Raw genomic sequence first — 20,957 nt, 5'->3', positions numbered from 1 at the left:
TGACTGGGGTGCTGTTAAAGGCATTCAGTTTTAAAAGGGAAACAGAGCATAAAATTTTGCAAAATCTGCAGCCTGACAACGTGATAGAAAAGAAAATCCCATTTTCTGAAGAGAAATTCAAGCCAGCTGCAGAAATTTGCATAAGTAATGAGGAGCCAAATAATAATCCCCAAGACAATGGGGAAAATGTCTCCAGGGCATGACAGAGACTTTTGTGGCAGCCCCTCCCATCACAGGCCTGGAGGCCTAGGAGGAAAAAGTGGTTTCATGAGCCTGGCCCAGGGTCCCCATGCTGTGTGCAGCCTAGGGACTTGGTGCCCTGTGTCCCAGCTTCTCCAGCTGTGGCTGAAAGGGGCCAATGTAGAGCTCAGGCTGTGGCTTCAGAGGGTGCAAGCCACCCTTTGGATTTCAGACTTGTGTAGGGCCTGTAACCCCTTTGTTTTGGCCAATTTCTCCCATTTTGAATGGCCGTATTTATCCAATGCCTGTGCCTCCATTGTATCTAGGAAGTAACTATCTTGCTTTTGATTTTACAGGCTCGTAGGCAGAGGGGACTTGCCTTGTCTCAGATAAGACTTTCGACTGTGGACTTTTGAATTAATGCTGAAATGAGTTAAGACTTTGTGGTACTGTTGGGAAGGCATGATTGTTTTGAAATGTGAGGATATGAGATTTGAGAGGGGCCAGGGGCTGAATGATATGGTTTGGCTCTGTGTCCCCACCCAAATCTCATCTTGAATTCCCATGTGTTGTATGAGGGACCCAGTGGGAGGTAGTTGAATCATAGGGGTGGGTCTTTCCCATGTTGTTCTCATAATAGTGAATAAGTCTTACCAGCTCTGATGATTTTAAAAATGGGAGTTTCCCTGTGCAAGCTCTCTATCTTCTTCCTTGCCTTCTGCCATGATTGTGAGACCTCTTGAGCCATGTGGAACTGTAAGTCCATTAAACCCTTTTTCTTGTATAAATTACCCAGTTTTGGATATGTCTTTATTGGCAGCATGAAAATGAACTAATACAAATTCCATAGTTCAGTGTTAGATTTTTTCTAGATTGAACTTAAAAATGATAATCACCTTCTGTCTTCCTTCCTCTCTCCCTCCCTTTCTTCCCTTCTTCCTTCATTCTTTTTCTTCCTTTAAGCTTCCAGTGTTCTTCTACTCTCTTTTCTTCTTACCAAATAGAAAAGGATTGTTCATCACTCACTTGGCTTCAACATTCCTAAGCTGCTCTTTTCTTTGCCTTTCCCTTCCTAAGTGGTGATATTTTCTTGGTCCATTCAGAGGCTCACTGTTTTTTTATTATCTACTCCTCCATCCAACCCATCAAAATAGTGCAGACTTTGATGTCAGGAAATTTTTTTGATCATCTATTCTGGTATCCCCATTTGGTACCCTGACTCCATGAGTAACCAGCAAGGGATTGGACTGGCTAGGCTGCCCCTTCCTACTTACCCTCGAAGTTCCTGAGCACTGAGAGATCTGTAGTCAGCTTTCCCAAGATCATCTGACAGGTTCCTTTTCAAAGACTCTTTCCTTATCCCCTGTTTATTCCTCACACCATGAAGTTCAGCCTGCTCCATTAATTTATCAAACTTCCCACTTTATACTTTGTTTGAAAATATAGTTTATACTTAATATCATGTGGTAACTTAACATTTTTGGCATTACAGTATATCATGGTCTTTCTCACACACAAAACAGTATATCTTTGAATGGAAGGAAGCAAAACTTGAGTTAGACCATGAAGAATGGATAGGGTTTGGGCAGATGGGGTTTTAGGTTAGAGAGTCATGACTTGGGTGAGTACAGTGAAGCAGGAACCAGAAGGTCATGTGTGTGTGTGTAAGGCATATTATACAGTAAAAAGAAGAAGGGCTTCATGTTGGCTAGAACTGTATTTAAATCCTGCCAATTACTAGCTATTTAGCTGTGAGCAAGACAGCTTCCCTCTCTAAGCTTTGATATCCTTATCTATAAAATAACAGTACCTACCATACAGGGTTATTTACAAATATTAACGGCCATGTGTGTAAAACACCTAAAAAATGTTTTATGTATAGAAGCTACTTAATAAATAGTAAGTATCTAATGCTGTGTCAGTGACAGGAAAATTAAGACATGCCAGAAAGCACAAAGGTATCAAATGGTTTTCTGAAACCCCACTATAAACAAAATAAAAATGGAGATGAAAAATGTTCACACTATACATATGACAAGGCTAATAGGCTGTATATATTTTTAAATGTCTTTATAAGTCAATAAGAAAAAGAGGAACCCCAATAGACAACAGTGTGAAAGGGCTCAAGCATGCACTTTTCAGATAAAATACTAATAATCAATAAACATTTGAACAAATGTTCACCCTCACTGTGGTCAAAGAAAAGTACATAAAATGGGATACCATTTGGGGCCTGCCAAATTAGCAAAGGTTGGGTAGGGGAGAATACCTGGTACCAGCAAAGTACCAGTGCAAATGAGTATAGTTTGGTGGAATTAACTTGGCAATAATGGTCAATAATCTTTAAAATATCACTCAGCTTTGGACCCAACTACTTTATTTCTTAACCTTTAGTCATAGGACAATCAATGTAGTAGCTAAGAGAATAAAGGATATTGGGAAAAATATTTTTATTATTTTCTCGAACAACGTTTTGCTTTGTCACCCAGGCTGGAGTACAGGGGTGTGATCATGGTTCAGTGCAGCCTCAACCTCCTGGGCTCAAGTGATCCTCCCACTTCAGCCTCCCAAATAGCTGGGACTACAGGTGCATGCCCTTCTAATTTTTTTATTTATTTTGTAGAGATGGGGTCTCAATACGTTGCCCAGGCATAATTGTTGAACAATAGGATAATCGTGGAAAATCCATTCAAATGCTTGTGTGTAGAGAAAGTAAATCAAATAGGAATCTTCAGTAACACAGAGCAATGTTCATTCAATTTATTTTATTTTATTTTTATAGATCCTGGGGGTACAAGTGCAGTTTTGTTACATCAATATATTGTCTAGTGGCTTTTAGTGTGCCCATTGCCTAAATAGTGAATGTTGTACCCAATAGGTAGTTGTTCATTCAATTTAAATAGTTGAAAAATAAGTTTACAAAAAAAATAGTAATTAAGGGAAAAAAGGGAAGATGGTCTACAAGTGCTGTGTTGTTTGTCAGAGAATAATGAGGATATGTGGTGGGGTCTGTTGATTATATCTGATGTGAAATAAAACAGGGCACTATTGAACATTATAGAAGATTGAAGATGAAAATGAAAAGGATTTAACACATTAACTTTGCGTGGCAAGCTGTTTGGTTTTAATGATAAAATAATACGTGATTAGATTTGGAAGTTTGAAGTCCAATTTGTGGGAACAAATCCCAATGAGTAGCAAAGAAAAAATGTTATTAATATGGTTCTATTCTTGCAGTCTATTTTATGAACACATTTTTGTGTCTTAGATTTTCCTTTTATGTCTTAGATTTTATTGATTGCACTTGAGAGCCACCATGAAGCTTCCTCTGAGAACCTGGAGATAAAGTAAGATTTATTCCTCTGAAGATTATATTATGAAAATAACATGTAAAGGTTTGGAAAAGAGACCTGCAGAACTGTCTTAAAGACACTGGGGGACTACTGGGCCAATAGGACTGGTGAAAAACATGGATCAGGCAATCACAAGAGGAATTGATTGGGTAGAGAAACTCAGAAAGGAAAAAGCAGAGTCAAGACATAAAACACTGACAGCATCATCCCTGGACTTTACAGGCATGATCTCATTTTAAGTTATCCAATACTTTAAACATTACTGTCTGCTACAGAGTAAATGTTTGTGTAGCCCTAAAATTCACACGTTGAAGTCCTAATCCCCAGTGTGATAGTATTTGAAGGTGCAGCCTTTGGGAGGTAACTGGGGTTAGATTAGATCACAAGGATGAGGCCCTCATGATGGAATTCATGCCCTTATAAAAGACACAAGTGTTCTCTCTCTTTGCCATGTGAGAATACAGTGAGACAGTGGTCACCTACAAGCTATGAAGAGGGCCCTTGCTAAGAATCAAATCTTCTGACATCTTGATCTTCATCTTCCCAGCCACCAGAACTATAAGAAACAAATGTTTGCTGTTTAAGCCACCAACGGCTTTTGTTATAGCAGCCTGACCCAATTAAGGCATTTTTTGGTAAGGCTACCTTCAGTATTTTCTTCAAATATACTAAATTTAAGGCCTAAAGCTGAATTTGGCTCACGTATATCATTAACTTGACTTGTTTGGTTTTTGGTTTTTGTTGTTTTTTAAAATATTGTGTTAGTTTTCTAACACTGCTATAACAAATGACCACAAATCTAGTGGCTTAAAACAGTACAGAGTTATTATCTTCCATTTCTGGAGGAAGAAGTCTGAAATGTGTCTTATCTGGCTAAAATCAAAGTATGAGCAGGCTTTGTTCCTTCTGGAGATGCTAGGGGACAATCAGTTCCTTGTCTTCTCTAACTTCTAGGTCCTCCCGCATTCCTTATCTTGTGGCCCCCTCTTCTGTCTTTATTTTTTTATTTATTTTATTTTATTATTATTATACTTTAAGTTTTAGGGTACATGTGCACAATGTGTAGGTTAGTTACATATGTATACATGTGCCATGCTGGTGTGCTGCACCCATTAACTCGTCATTTAGCATTAGGTATATCTCCCAATGCTATCCCTCCCCCCTCCCCCCACCCCACAACAGTCCCCAGAGTGTGATGTTCCCCTTCCTGTGTCCATGTGTTCTCATTGTTCAATTCCCAACTATGAGTGAGAATATGCGGTGTTTGGTTTTTTAAGCCAGAAACGTTGCATTTTCAGATCGCACTCTCTGACTCTGACCCTTGTTTTTGTTACCATGTCCCCTTCCCTCACTGTGTTCCTCCTGCCTCCCTCTGCCCCTTGTAAGGACTTTTGGAATTACACTGGGCACACTTGGAGAATACAGGATAATCTTTCCATCTCAAGGTTCTTGATCATCTGCAAAGTCCCTTTTGGCATGCAAGGTAACAGGTTCCTGGGAATAGGTCAGGGGCATTTTGTGAGGCCATTATTCTATTATAATTATTAACATTAAAAAAATCTGAAGATAAACATTAAAAATGTAAAGTTCCAGAGTCTCTTTAAAAAATCAGAAGTTCTGTCAACACTTGGGTCTACACTCCCTGTGATGATGATCAGCTAGAATTGAATATCTGGTAGTTCCTTTTGTAAACACCTTGGTTGCACTTCAGTTGACCAAAGTTCATTTGGGATGACTTTGCTAACTCATATTACCTGCCTAGCCTCTAAAGCATTTGAATTTTTATTTTCTGTGTAAAAAGAATACCTAATTGTATTTTAAACAGAGTATAATAAATATTTTATTTTTCTAAGTAATTATTACCCTTTTTAAAACCTGACCTCTGATTATAACTTGGTTTCTTTGAGTCCCCACCCAAATCTTATCTCGAATTAGAATCCCCATAATCCCCACGTGTCAAGGGAGAAACCAGGTGGAGAGTAGTTGGATCATGTGGGCCATTTCCCCCATGCTGTTTTTGTGATAGTGAGTGAGTTCTCACAAGATCTGATGGTTTTGTAAGGGGCTCTTTCCCCTTTGCTCAGCTCTTCTCCTTCCTGCCACCTGGTGAAGAAGGTGGCTTGCTTCCCCTTTGCCTTCTGCCATGATTGTAAGTTTCCTGAGGCTTCCCCAGCCATGCTGAACTGTGAGTCAGTTAAACCTATTTCCTTTATAAATTACCCAGTCTCAGGCAGTTCTTTATAGCAGTATGAAAATGGACTAATACACTCTCAGGCAGTTCTTTATATAGCAGTATGAAAACAGACTAATATATTGTATTTTCTTAGGGATACATAACAAATATTCTAGTTCTGTTTAGAATCTTATTTCCTACTGGAAGTTTATCCTTTTGAATTTTGAATTAATGCTTCAGGTTCATGATCCATTTTCAATGTACAGGAAAGATCAGGTCTTTGAGGCTGCAAAATGGAGGTCTAGTTCCTGGTAAGTGATTAATTAACAAGATGGCGATGCTCAGTGGGATCTCTTTGGAGATGTCCTGCTGTCTGCCTCATTTGCATTTTAAAACATCAAGAGAGAAATAAACCAACATACTCATATTTATGACATATTTATCACATTTTTATTGGAGCAATGCAAAATTCTCAAACAGAAGAGGAGAAACATAGCTGAAGCTATTTCAGAAAATTAGAATAAATTTTGTTTTATACATATTTATTTTGATGTTGAATGCAAACTATAATAGCTCGCAAATATATTATATTCCCAAGACCCATGGACAATTTCAATTATGATGGAAATATTTTGTTCTGTGAAAATACTGATTAAGATTAGCTCTATTTTCCCATCCGATAAAAGCTATAAAATGGTTCTAAAATATAAATGGTGATTTTTAAGTTTATTGAACACAAAACTGAGCCTTGAGATAGTGTCAAGGAAATCCAAAGTTCATCAAATGTAGAGTTATAATTACTTCGCCACATTTAATTGTTGTTTTTTGAGTTTCATAAATTTCTATGAACAAATGGAAAATTTGTGCCAAATAAAAATTTATATTTGCATTTATTATTAAAAGTACACACTTACAGTCTGTCATTGCAAATTTGTTTGGTCTATAGTGGTTGGATATATTGCCAAAATCACTATAATATCAGCAATTATGCATATTTTAGCTTTTACCACAGTAATGTTCTACTTATATATCATCAAACTCATTAACTTCTCTGAGGTGCATTTCTTAATTACCCTAGACCAATGTCATTCCTCAGTCCTATGAATTCCTTTGCCACTTATTATGTGTATCATTTCATGTATAATTTAAGAAAATCTTTTTTTACCAGCAATATTGACTACTATATTCATTTGCTTGAGCCCAGCTGTCTTTTTTTTTGCTGTTATTGTCTTACAAAATTATCATTTCTAAGACCTTATTCTTATCCTCTTTTGTAAACTCTGTGAAATAAGAGATAAAATTGAAAGAACAATAAAAGAATAAAATGGGAAGGGTGGCATAACTTCTAAAAAAATACTAACAAATAAAGCATATATGGTGGAGGAAATAGTGTTCCTGAAGTAAAAAAACAATTGCAACTGGAATAGGAAATTATTAAGGTATACATTTAAAAAAATCTTTCTTGAACTGAGGTAAACAGTAAACCTCTAGATCAAAAGAGTAAACCAGATTCCAGATAAAAATAGTAATACTCAATTGTGAGCCAGATCCTGGCATTATCGGGCTTCAAGAAAAAAGAAAGACCTTACAACAGACAGAGAATCCTTTCTAATCTAAATGTAAAAGGTAATGAAGTATGGCATTTAGAAGAATAGGAGAATAAAATCTTTGTGATTCTGGAGTAATACATACTGTTTAAACAAGATACACAAATTGCTAACTATAAAGAAAAACATTGATAAATTAAACTACATTAAAGTTAAGAACTTATTATCATAAGTTATCATTAAAAGAGTGAGTGGGAGTTTATTTGTCATGTATTTGACACACATATGAATACTTATATATATAAAGGTCTTACATATCCATAATACTTAAAGAATGCTTGCACATCAGTAAGAAAATGTCAGATAGCCCAGTGGAAACATTGGCAAATGACTTGAATAGACACTTCACAATAGGGGATATCTTGGTAGCCCATAGACCTATAAAAAGGATCTCAACTTTATTTGGTCATCAAGTAAATTGCAAATTAAAACCAAAATGTGATGCCACTCTACACCCACCAGACTGGCTAAAATGACAATGTCAAGTGTTGGAGAGGATGTTTAGCAACTAGAACTCTCATCAATTATTGATAGGAGTTGTAAATCAATATAACCACTTTGGAAAACTATTTGTCAATATTTAGTAGTGATGAACATATTCATACCATATTGCCCAATTATTCTACTCTGCGATATATATTTCACATATATTGTCCAACAGGCATGTGCAAGAATATTCATAGCAACATTGTTTGTAATGGCCCTGTGTCAGATATTGCCAAGACAACTCAGTTTTGATGATTTATAGGACTCACAGGACTCAGCACAACTAGAGTCATGCTCATGGTTATGATTCATTACAGTGAAAGGATACAAAGTAAAATCAGGGCAAGGAAAAGACTCATGGGGCAAAATCCAGAGGAAACATGGTGCAAGTTCCCAGAGTCTTCTCCCAATTAATCGCACAGGACACACTTAATCCCTTGAACAGCAAGTTGTGACAACACATGTGAAATGCTGTCTACCAGAGAAACCCATTAGAGACTTGGTGTTCAGGTGTTTTTTTTTTTTTATTGGGGGATGGACAAATATGCAGCCTCTGCCTGGAACGTAGCAGAATTCCAGACTCCCAGAAGGAAAGCAGGTGTTCAGCATAAACCACATTGTTTCTACAAACCATTTGGGCACAATGAGACACTATTACTAGTTACTTACTCCAAAATCCAAGTTCTTACATGCTAGTCAAGGGCCAACAGTAGGTGCAGCCTTGTCTAGGGATAGCAGTATGGCCTGCTATGTTAACTCTTTTCTGCATGAGCTCCAAACTGGAATTAATTAGGAGCTAAAAAGTCTAAGAGCAGTCGAATGGAACAGTGAATAAATAAATTATGGTATGTTCATACAATGGATTACTTTACAAAAAATGGGAATTATATTCCAAAAAACATATGCAACAATATGGCTGAGATATAATGCTGACTAAAAGAAGCAAGATGTAAAAGGACACATATTGCATCTTTATGTTTGTGGGAAGTTCAAAACTAGGTGAAATTAAACATCATAATGTTTGAAGTCACCTAGGGAGACTAAGAATCTGAGTGTTGATTACATGTTCACTTTGTGACTATCCTTTGGGTGAAACATGATTTTTGCTCTCTTCAATATTATGTTCTATAGCAATAAAAAGTTTACTAATAAACATTTCTTAACATGAAAAAATAATGAAGACTCTTGCATATATTTATTTAGGCAGAAGGAACAGATGATTTAGTAAGAAAGTAAGAGAGATTTTTCTGATAGTTCTCCTCTATGCCATTAAAACAATTAAAAATATGTACTATTTAGAGAATGTGTGTGCCAGAAACTCTACTGAGTCATAGTATGTAGCCCTGCCCTCTCCAGTATAGCAGACACTGGACTCATGTGGCTACTGAGGACATAAAATGTGGCAGTCCAAATTGATATATGTGACATGCAAATGCTATAACTGAATGGTATAGCTATATGGTATAAGTATAAAATATACACTATATTTAGAATTCTCAGTATAATAAAGAATGTAATATCTCAATAATGTTTTACATGTTGAAATGATGTATATTATTGAACCTATTGGGTTAAGTATAATTATTATTTTTATTTAAATTATAAATATCCAAATTAGTTTTACCTTTTTAATGTGACTGCTAGAAAAATTAAAACTATAAATGTGGTTTACACTATATTTTTATTAGCACTAATATAGATCATGCCATTAATTCCTTACCTTAAACCTGGGAAGTAAGGAATAGTCTCATTTTACAGATAAGAACAATGAGATTTAGGAAACTAAGTAAAAGTATGCATTATGTAATTTGCAAAGGTCTAGCAAGTAATTAGCGGAGCTAAAATTAGATGTTTACATGATTCTAGGTCCTGTGCTCTTCACCTCCTGCTGTACTCTCAGAAGACCAGGAGGCATCCTCTACTGAATTTTCAGAGAAGAATGGTTTAATCCAAGTATTCTTTATGTAACCAGGCTGTCAACTCTATGTAAAGTCAACAAGAAAATATTTTTATGTATCCAACGACTCAGGAAAATATACTACTTATGTAACTACATTACCAAAATCTTCATTTAAATATGCGATTCAGCCAATATATGGAAAAACTAAAATAAAGTATTCTTGAATGGGAAATTCATGGTGTGAAAAAGCTGATGGTGGGCTTTGAGTTTATGTAAACATAGAAATGAATCTAATAAAAGGGAAATATAATTCCTTAAAATTCTTGAATAAAATAATACCATAATAATGATTTCAAAATTACAGAGTATAAAAACAAAAACTAGGGTGTGTGTAGTGGAATGGGACTAGGCTGAGGATGTATAGTTTGCAATTTACTTAGGAGGAAGTTAATAGATGTTATTTCATTCTTGAACTTGATAAACTGACAAGTATATGCTTAATCAATGTTATAAAAGATACAAAGGTAAACACTAGTGGAACTAAAAACAGAACACACGATTTATAATATGCTGAAAGTAGATATCACAGGTAATATAGACCATCAAATAGAAGAGAGAAAACAAAGAAAATAGATAAGAAGCAAAAATAAAACAATCATTAAAATAAGATGACTGAAAGAGCAAATGCATATGCTCCTTGACTTACAATGGGGGTATGTGGTGATAAACCCATTGCCACTGGAAAATATTGTAAGTCAAAAATTGACATTTTGTAGCCCTGATGGCATGAGAAACACAATATCCAAAAAATTCTGGTAACACAGCACACTGTATTGGTTGTTTACCTTCGTGATTGCATGGCTGACTGGGAGCTGTGACTCGCTTTAAAATTTGAGGTACAGTTTCTACTGATGGCATATCACTTTTGCATCATCATAAAGTTGAGAAATCTTAATTTGAACAATTGTGAGTCAGGACCATCTGTACACTTCTTCCAACAATAAAACAATGGAATAAACTCCATTAAAGAAAATATTGAGTTGAAAGAAAAATATTGTTTAACTTTTTTTTTTCAAATACCAAGGTAAAGCTGTAGTAACAAAGTTGTATTTAACGATCCTATAGTATCTAATTACATTTGCTTTTCTGGTGACTACTTTTTAGAGTTCTTTGGGTCTCAATTCTAGTTGACTATTTACAGCATTTACATTTATTGACAAGCAGCTACAGGAAGTAGAAATGTTAATGTCTTATTTTTAATTGTCATTGTTTACCTCAACTTGTGGCTACATGTAGCTTTGATTTAGGAAACAATAATAACTTTATTCTTTAATGGAAGCATTTAAAACCCTGTTTATCTTTCCTGGATCTCAGCCTTCAATTACCTAGAAACAAAATGAAAGCAGTGAGAGAAAAGACACAGATGCCAACAGGAAAACAATGATTTGTACCCTCTGTATAATGACCATATGTATTGATGGTGCTGAGACTATTATTACTACATGCTTGCTTTTGATGGAAGTTTTCTTGCTCTATTTTGATAAAACTCTGAAATAGAAAACTAAGTATACTAGAAATCCAGCTGCTTATTCTCTTAAATTTTATTCATGTATCAGTGATTCTGGGCCTTAGCAGCTTTGAAGGCTAAACTAGGTTTCAATATTAGTCACTCAGCAGAAAGCATTTTTCTCAGGGGTGATTCCACCCACCCTTTAATTTCTCATAAGCATAAGAAATTTATTTCTCATAGTTCTCAAGGCTGGGAAGTTTAAGATCAAGGAACTTGAAGATGTGCCATCTGGTGAGGCTCTGCTTCCTGGTTCATAGCTGGCCATCTTCTTCTGTGTCTTTACATGGGAGAAAGGGCAAGGGAAGTCTCTGGCTTCTCTTTTGTAGGGGGACTAATCCCATTCACAAGGCTTCCTCCTCATCACCCAGTCACTTCCCAAAGGAAACACCTCCAAATATAATTGCATTCAAAATTAGATTGCACTGTGAATTTGCGGGGGACATAAACATTCAGTCTATAGCAGCAATGAATAATATATTGTTCTGGAGAAACATATTCCAGAAAAACCTTTTCCCTGAAACTCACTCCTCTGTAATCTGCCTCAACCAGCTCATTGCCTGGCCTATTGTAGGAACTCAGTATATTATTTTATTTTACAAAAATTGACTTTTATATCATACAGTGTTTTATAACCTATCTTTCTCACTTATAAAATAATTATGTCATGAATAGCTTCCTGTGTGTTGTGATTATAGATGTTATTACCCGATGTGAGGTATGGAAGAAATGGCCTATTACGTTATTTTCACAATTAAAGAAAAAAAATATGAGTCTGAGTCCCTTACCCACCTGGGAAATTAGAACCTCATAATTTTAAATGCAGGTGCTTATCTATGTCTCTAGTTTGCACAAAAATTCAGAAGGTTTACGAAGTGCCCAGAAAATGGAAGGAGAGTGTCTGAGTCACCATGGTCACTGAGGACTTTCCACTTATTCAAACCCTTGGAGTTACTTAAAGGCAAGTGGCTCTTCTGTTTCTATGCTCAGGCCCAGAAGGGTCTCCTCTTCCACCAAGGAACCATTCTAAAAGTCCTGCCACTTTCCTGCCATGCCCAAATGGAGCAGGACAGAGACCTTTCTTCCTTTCTAGTCGTGTGGAATGTTTACTCTCTTGCTGTGTCACCCTCTGAATTCCTCCAACAAACTCCTCTCCACCTCAGCTTTCCCAGGAAGATCTGAGAAAGGCCTCCACTTCCTTCTCCTGAGACAGCAAAATCTCCTCAATGAAGAAAGACTGTCTTGTTGGAACAGAGAATGGAAAAATAGAACATAACACAAATGTATCTTTTTCTCTTTTTATTCTTCTTTAGTTATAAGAAACATACACACAAATGCTCTAATAGCTTCTACACATTCATTAAATATTTTATCTGTATCATCTCTGTCTATATATATCTACATATGTCCTTTTTTCTTAAGTTACCAGATGATCATAAGTTATCAGACAAAAAAGATACTCAAGCTGGGGGGTCAGGCTTGTTCTGTATGAACATAATATGTATCTACATGAATCAGTATGTAGTTGCCTTAAACGCAATGTTGTGGATTTTTTTCCCCAGTGTAAAACATTTTTAGAGAAAGGATCAAAGGCACCGGGTGTGAATGAGAGTCCCAGATTTTCCTGAGGCCACCTTTCAGAAGGGGCTTACCTTTCTCTTTCTTTATTCTCTTATTTTCCTACTATCCCTGGTAAAGTTAAAGTTCTTTTCTTCATGTATTTATTTTTTATTGTGGCAAAAAAAATATAACTTGAGATCTGCCCTCTTAAAATTTTAAGTGTGTTGTTTACTGTAAGCACATTGTTATACAATAGCTTTCTAAGAAGTTTTTCATCTTGCATGACTGAAACTTTATATGACTGAAAAGAAACTCCTCATTTTCCCATCCTCCTAGCTCCTGGCAACCACCATTGTACTTTCTGCTAAGATGAGTTTGACTATTTCAGATGCCTCATATAAGTAGAATCATGCAGTATTTTTCCTCTCTGACTGGCTTATTTCACTCAGCATAATGTCTCCAAGATTCATCCATGTTGTAGCATATGCCAGGATTTTCTTTTTTAAGTGGCTGAATAATATTCCATTGTATGTATACACCTACATTTTTTGATCCATTCATTAGGTTATTTTCACCTTTTGCTTATTGTGAAAAATGCTGCAATGAATATGGGAATACAAATATCTCTTCAGTATCCTGATTTCATTGTTTTGGATAAATATCCAGAAGTGAACTGACTGGATCATATGGTAGCTCTATTTCTAATTTTTAAGGAATCTTTATACTGGTTTTCATCCTGGCTGCACTATTTTACATTTCTACCAACAGTGCGTAAGTGTTCCAATTTGTCTACATCTTTGCTAACACTAGTTATTTTCTGTTATTTTTAAAAAACATAATGGTCATCTTAGCATCTTATGAGGTGGTATTTCATTTTTGCTTTGATTTGCATTTATCTGATAATTAGTGAGGAGTATTTTTTCATGTACCTGTTAGCTGTTTTGAAATTTTCTTAGAATATATATCTATTTAAGTCATTTGTCCATTTAAAATTGGGTCATTTATTTTCTTGCTGTTGAGCTATAGGAATCCTTTATATGTAATCCTTTATATATTTTGGGTATGAATACTTGATCAGATATATAATTTGCAAATATTGTCTTCCATTCTGTGGGCTGCCTTTTGACTCTCTTGTTTCCTTTGCTGGGCAGAAGTTTTTTAGTTTGATGTATTCCCATTTTTAATTTTTGCTTTCGTTGCCTGTGTTTTTAGGGTCATATCCATCAAATCATGGCAAAAACCAATGTCATGAAACCTTTTATCTATGTTTTTGTCTAGGAATTTTATAGTTTCAGGTATTGTGTTTAATCAATTTTTCATTGATTTTTGGGTATGGTATTAGATAAAGGTCCAATTTCATTCTTTTGCATGAAAATATCCAGTTTTTTCAACATAACTTGTTAAACACACTATCTTTATCCCCTTATGTATTCTTGGCACCCTTCTCAAAGATCACTTGACCATAAATGTCTAATGTTATTTTGGGGTTGTCTATTTTAGTCCATTGGCCTATATGTCTGTGTTTATGGCAGTACCATACTCTATTGATTATTGTAGCTTTGTAATACAGCCGATTTGTTTTAAAATCAGGAAGTATAATATCTTCAGCTTTGTTCTTTCCCAAAGTTATTTTGGCCAGTTGGGGTCTTTGTGGCTTTATGTGTATTTTAGAATTTTTTTCTATTTCTGTAAAAATTGTCATTAAGATTTTGATAGAGATTGTATTAAATCTGTAGATGGCTTTCAGTTGTATGGACATTTTAATAATCTTAACTCTTTCAATGCATGAACATAGAATATGTTTTCATTCATTTTTATCCTTTATAATTTCTTCTTTAATGTCTTATAGTTTTTAGTGTACAAGTCTTTTGGTCCCTCAGTTAAATTTTTTCCTAAGGATTTTATTGTTTTTGGTCCTTTTGTAAATGGGATTGTTTTCCTAATTTCCTTTTCAGATTGTCCACTGTTAGTGCATAGAAACACAATTAGTTTTGTATGTTGATTTTTGTATCCTGGAACTTTACTGAATTTGTCTATTAGATCTAATAGGTTTTTTTTTTGTGTGTGTGTATGTATGTGTGTGTGCAATCTTCAGGATTTTCTACATACAAGATCATGCATCCATGAACAGGGATAATTTTCCTTCTTCCTTTCCAATTTGGATGCCTTTTATTTCTTTTTCTTGCTTAATTTCTCTGGGTAGGACTTCTAGTACTGTGTTGAATAAAAGTGGCAGGAGTGGGTATCTGTGCTTTTTTTCCTGATTTTGGAGGAAAAACTATCAGTTTTTCATTGTTGAGTATGATGTTCACTGTGGACTTGTTGTATATAACCTTGTTATGTTATGATGATTTCCTTTTGTTCCTAGTTCGTGGAGTCTTTATCCTGAAAGGATATTGACTTTTGCCAAATACTTTTTGTACATGTCTTTCTATCATCCTGTGATTTCTATCCTTTATTCTGTTAATGTGGTGAATCACATTGATTGATATTTATATGATGAGCCATCCTTGCATCCCAGGGATAAATCTCGCTTGGTCATAGTGTGATCCTTTTAATACACTGTTGAATTTAGTTTGCTCATATATTTTTGAGGATTTTTGCATCTAAATCATCAGGGATATTAACTTACAGTTTTATTTTCTTGTGATGTCTTTCTCTAGGTTTGGTATCGGAATAATGCTGGCTTCATAAAACGGGTTTCAAAGTGTTCCTTTCTCTTCCATTTTTTGGAAGAGTTTGCAAAGAATTGCCACTAATTATTTAAATGTTTGGTAGGTTTTATCATTGAAGCCATTCTGGTGCTGGGTTTTTCTTTTTGGAGAGGTTTTTGATTACTGATTCAATCTCTTTACTGGTTTTTAGGTCTGTTTGGTTTTTCTGTTTCTTTATGATCCAGTTCTGATAGGCTATATGTTTCTAGGAATTTATCCATTTTTTCTAGGCTATCCAATTTGGATAATCTATAATTGGCTTATAATTGTTCATGGTAGTCTCTCATAATTCTTTTTGTCTGTGGCATCAATTGTAATGTCTCCTCTTTGATGTCCATTTTAGTTTTTTTGTCTTCACTCTTTTTTTCTTCAGTCAAGTGTAACGTGTGTTGGTTTTGTTGATTTTTTCAAAAGGCCAATTAATTTTGTTGATTTTTCTATGGTTTTTCTATTCTCAATTTCATTTATTTCCTCTCTAAGTTTTATTATTTATTTCTTTCCCTCTGCTAACTTTATGTTTAGCTTTTTTTTCTATTTCTACTTCCTAAGGTATAGAATTAGGTTGCTTTAGATCCTTCTTTTTTAACGTAGGCATTTATTGCTTTAAACTTCCTTCAGAATTGCTTTTGCTGCATCCCATAACTTTTAATATGTTGTGTTTTCATTTTTATATGTCTCAAAATGTTTTCTAATTTCACTTTTCATGTTCTTATTTTGCCCATTGGTTGTTCAAGAATGTGTTGTTTAGTGAATTTTTGTTTTCTTTCTGCAGTTGATTTCCAGTTGCATTCTATTGTGATCAGAAGAGATACCTATATGATTTCAATCTTATAAATTAGTTAAGTTTTGTTTTGTGACCTAGTATGTGATCTATACTGGAGAGAAGAATGCATATTCTGTGTCTGTTGCTTGAAATGTCCTGTATACGTCTCTTAGGTCTATAGTGTTCTTCAAGTCCTCTGTTTCTTTATTAATCTTCTGTCTGGATATTCCATCCATTATTAAAAGTGGTTTTTGAAGTTTCCTACTTTATATTGTTGGTGTCTATTTCTTCCTTCACTTCTGTCAATATTTGCTTTATGTATTTAGGTGCTCTATATTGGTTGCATATATATTTATAATTATATCTTCCTGGTAAATTGAACCTTTTATCATTATGTAATATTCTTTGCTTCTTGTTACAGTTTTTGACATAATGTCTATTTTGTCTGTATAAGTATGGCTACTTCTGTTTTGTTTTGATTACCGATTACGTCAAATATCTTTTTCCATTCTTTTGTTATTTGTGCCTTACATTTAAAGTGAGTCTCTTATAGATGGCACATAGTCGGATCTTCTTTTTAGTTTAATCTATTCAGCCACTTTGTATTTTGATTGGTGAATTTCATCCGTTTACATTTAAAGTAATTACTGATAGAGGAGAACTTATTGCTGTTTTGTTAATTTGTTCATACACTATTTTCATGAGCTTACTGAGCATCTTTATTTATGATGTTTATTTTTGAATTATATTTTAGGTAATTCATAACCTGTATCTTTAGGGTCAATTTCTGGAGATTTATTTTGTTCCTTTGATTGGGCCATTTTTCCCCCCATTTGTGTTGGTGTCTGGATATTTGAAAATACAAACCACCTCTCTCACTCTTTGTAAACTAGCTTTATAATAGAGAAAAACTTTCACCAATTGGCCCAAGTAGAGATTCTGAAGGCCTCTCAAAGTTTTTCTGTGGATGTGTCTTTTCTGGGCTTTGCATGTGTAGATTTCTGTTTAGAAGAATTTGCTAGTTTCCTTTTTTCAGAAGTTCATAATCTTTTGCTTTCTCTGATGTCTGCCATCCTATGGTGGGCCCTCTGACCTGCTGTCAGACCATCCTATCTGAGCAGCAACATGCCGCTCAAATCTTTTATATTCTTGTTGGCTCCTGGCATCTAGAGTATGCTAGGTCCCATCTGCATTACCAGAAATTCAAGAAAGAAACCAGCCCCTTGGGCAGCCCCTCAAAAAGCTGGACTGTTGGACATGTGTTCCACTTTTCTCTTTCCTCCTTGAGGGGGAGGCCTCTGTCTGCGATACTGTGGTTCCTCTGGAGTAGCAGCATACACCCAGTTCTTTTTCTGTTCTCAGTGGCCCCCAAGCATCTAGAGTATGTCTGATGTTATCAGTGCTCCAAGACAGGCAAGACAAAAACCTCCCTGAGAAGTCAGAACATTGGATGTATGGGCTAGTCTTCTCTTTCTCTCACCAGGGAGAATCGAATCCAAAACTGGTAGTTTCCCTCCAATCACATGGTGCTCTGTCAGGCAGAAGGACTATGGTGAGAGGGTGACAAAAATTCTTCTACTTGCTTCAATGTGGCTGGCTTTGTGTTCTCCTGGGATGCAGGTGCCTCTTAACTGGTTTTGGGATTTCTCATAAACAGAATTAGCCCATATATTGTTATTGATTTGATGTTTTGTGAGATGAAGGAGGTGCTTTTTATTACTACATCTTGCTGATGCCACTCCTCAATCATTCCTCTATTTACTATTAGGTTTTGCTATTTACATATGCTTTTGTTTGCTGAGTTTTGGGGAATGTCATTGCTAACAAATCATGCTCTATCATTTTTATCTGTAGTAGAGAAAATAGCTAGGAGATGTAGACATAATGACAGATACTATTTATTAAGCACTTTTATTGCATCCGGACATAACTGAAGTGTTTATGTGATGATATTTAATATTCATAAAAGCATTGTAGGCATATTGCCTTTGTTTTCCAATTTTGTAAAGGTGAAAACTAGTGCACAGAAATAATAATATGTAACTTTCTCAAAGTCATGCAGCTTAATAATAGAAGAACTGGGAATTAAACACAGGCAGTTCAACTTCAGAGTCTGTACCCAGGAGTCAGAGAAAGCACATATTGGTTCTGTACTCATGTAATTTAAATCACTGGTTGTTCTACAAGTGAAAAAGTATAAGAAACAAAACAAAACAAATCAGTATGGCAACCACACAAATAAGAAAATCAGAAAACCCTCCAAATTCTGTGTTCAACTTAGAACATATATATGAAATGGTGTTTTTTGTTTGCTTATTTTTTTTTGCTTTGGTTTTAAACAGTTTAATGTTCTTATTTTTCATAGCTGGAAAATATCTCTTTTTGCTGAAAAACTATTTTTCTCCAAAATACTGATTATATTCTCTGTGTTATAAATGGGAAAATGAAACAGGCCCTCACCAGATTTTTCATTTAGCAAAACTGTACAAAGAGAAGAAATCTGTTGTTTGGCCAAATTTGAATACAGATTTCCCTGAGAGTCTGACTGTGAAAAATAAGCTGTGGTAAGAGTTTTTTAGGTTAAGATAATACTAAACACTATATTGAAGATGGGAGAGGTGATTGCCATTTTTCAACTAGTCCATCTGGGTCAGTTTGATATGAATATTTTTCTTTATTTTTACCTCATTAGGAACTAACTCCTGTTGTATCAAAGGTCTTGAGAACTCTGGCCACCTGCCACTCATCTGTGCTATACCCAATAGCAGCCTTATTAGGCTTTTGGATCCTAGAGTTGCTGCTATCTCTCGTACCACAAAACCACCTGCTTCTGATTCTCTAGGAAGACTGCTGAGAGTCAACATCGAGCCACTGGTGGTATGTACAGTATAAAGAGTTTTGATTAAGCTTGGTTAATTGTCCCTCAGTATAGTTTTAGTATATATACCCCATAATATCTCTGTGTTAACTCCTTGCCAGTTTTATAATTGTAAAATGTCTCATTGTTTTGATATGCATTGCAGTTGATTTATTTTTTATTAACTTGTATTCTTTCGTGACATGCCTGCTGTGTCTCTTGTCTGTCTTTCTGTTAAAAGATTTTAATTGGTTTTTAAGAATTCTTAGCAAATCAAGTATATTGACTCTGCCTTTCATATAAGTTGCAAGTATTTCCTCCAGTTTTTTTTTATATGTTCTTACTTTCACTTAATGGTTTTTGGATGCATAGAAAGTTTTGACTTTTCAAGTTGAAAAACTTATGTCATGCTTAGAATTGCTATTCATGCTTCAAAATTGTATTTTCTAGTTTTTATTTTTTAATATTAATTTTTTTTTGAGACAGAGTCTCACTCTGTCACCCAGACTGGAGTGCAGTGGCATGTTCTCAGCTCACTTCAACCTCCGCCTTTTGTGTTTAAGTGATTCTCCTGCCTCAGCCTCCCGAGTAGCTGTGACTATAGGCGTGTGCCACCATGCCCAGCTAATTTTTGTATTTTTAGTAGAGACAGGGTTTTGCCATGTTGGTCAGGCTGGTCTGGAATTCCTGACCTCCAGAAATCCGCCCGCCTCAGCCTCCCAAGGTACTGGGATTACAGGCGTGAGTCACCGTGCCCAGCCATATTTTCTAGTTTTAAAAAATAGTTTCCTCTTTCATATTTTATTATATCCTGTTCTATATTTTACCTCTCTCTAAATTGGAATGGTAAGTTATTTCTGGAAAATTACCTGGGGTAAGACAGGGAACTAACTTTATTTTTTACATGATTAGTCAGGGACTTCAGTGTCATTTATTTTTTTGGTTGTGTTTAATTTTTGACATACATTTTGCTCATTGGAGAAGAAACTTTTTTTTTTAGATTTTATCCCCAGTTTACCTCTTCACAACAGGAAACAGGCAGTTATTTTTATGAAAGCATCCTTTCATCTTTTTCTTCTTCTCTCTCAGCTTCCTTTGGCACCACCCCTCCTTCCCTGTTGTTATCTCTCATTTTCATATTTAATATATTTTACGTAATTTTTCTTAGAGGTATCACAATGTGACAGAATTTTCTTAACTGAACTTTTTATTGAAGTATAGTGTACATACAGAAAAGTACGTGTATAATTTGTGTACAACCCACACAATACATTTGCTTAGAGTGAACAGACCCTTATAGCTAGGGCACAGGTAAGTAAACAGAATCTTATGAGCAACTTAGAATACTCCCCTAGTATCCAGCTCCAATCAGTACCATCTATCCCTTCCCCTCAAGTTAACCATTATTATGAATTGTAGCACCAAAGTTTACTTCATATAAATAGAAATATACAGGATGGAATAACAATGTAGCTCCTTTTGCTCATCATGTTTGAAAGATTTTTGCATAATTGTGTGTAATTATAGATCATTCATTTTTATTGCTGTATGACTATAACCACAAATTTATTTATCCACGATGTTGTTGATACACACGTGGGCGGTTGCTGGCTTTTGGCTATTAAGAATGGTTCTGCTATAAATATTCTTGTGCATGTCTTTTCATGAACACACATATTCCTCTACAAGTTCATTGGCTTTTTCTAGACTTCTTGGTTTATTTCTGAGCTTCCAACTGCCTAGCTTGGTCTAGTGTTCACAGAGACTCAGTGAATGAGGAGAATGATTTGAATTTGG

General features: G+C 35.2%; 1 protein-coding gene across 3 annotated transcripts in view; it reads left to right on the top strand.

The window, feature by feature from the left end:
- The window catches only part of COL5A2 (collagen type V alpha 2 chain), a 409,214-nt gene that overhangs the window by 196,784 nt on the left and 191,473 nt on the right, over positions 1-20,957 (top strand). For all 3 annotated transcript variants that reach the window (XM_047443252.1, XM_011510573.4, XM_047443251.1), the window contains one exon: positions 18,996-19,180. The gene's annotated coding sequence lies outside the window, so the exon portion shown is untranslated. The remainder of the gene's footprint in view (positions 1-18,995; positions 19,181-20,957) is intronic.

Source organism: Homo sapiens, chromosome 2 (genome assembly GCF_000001405.40).
Source record: "Homo sapiens chromosome 2, GRCh38.p14 Primary Assembly".
NCBI classification, from domain to species: Eukaryota; Metazoa; Chordata; class Mammalia; order Primates; family Hominidae; genus Homo; species Homo sapiens.
Note: the sequence above shows the minus strand (reverse complement) of the source record. Positions and strands in the feature narration are given on the sequence as shown.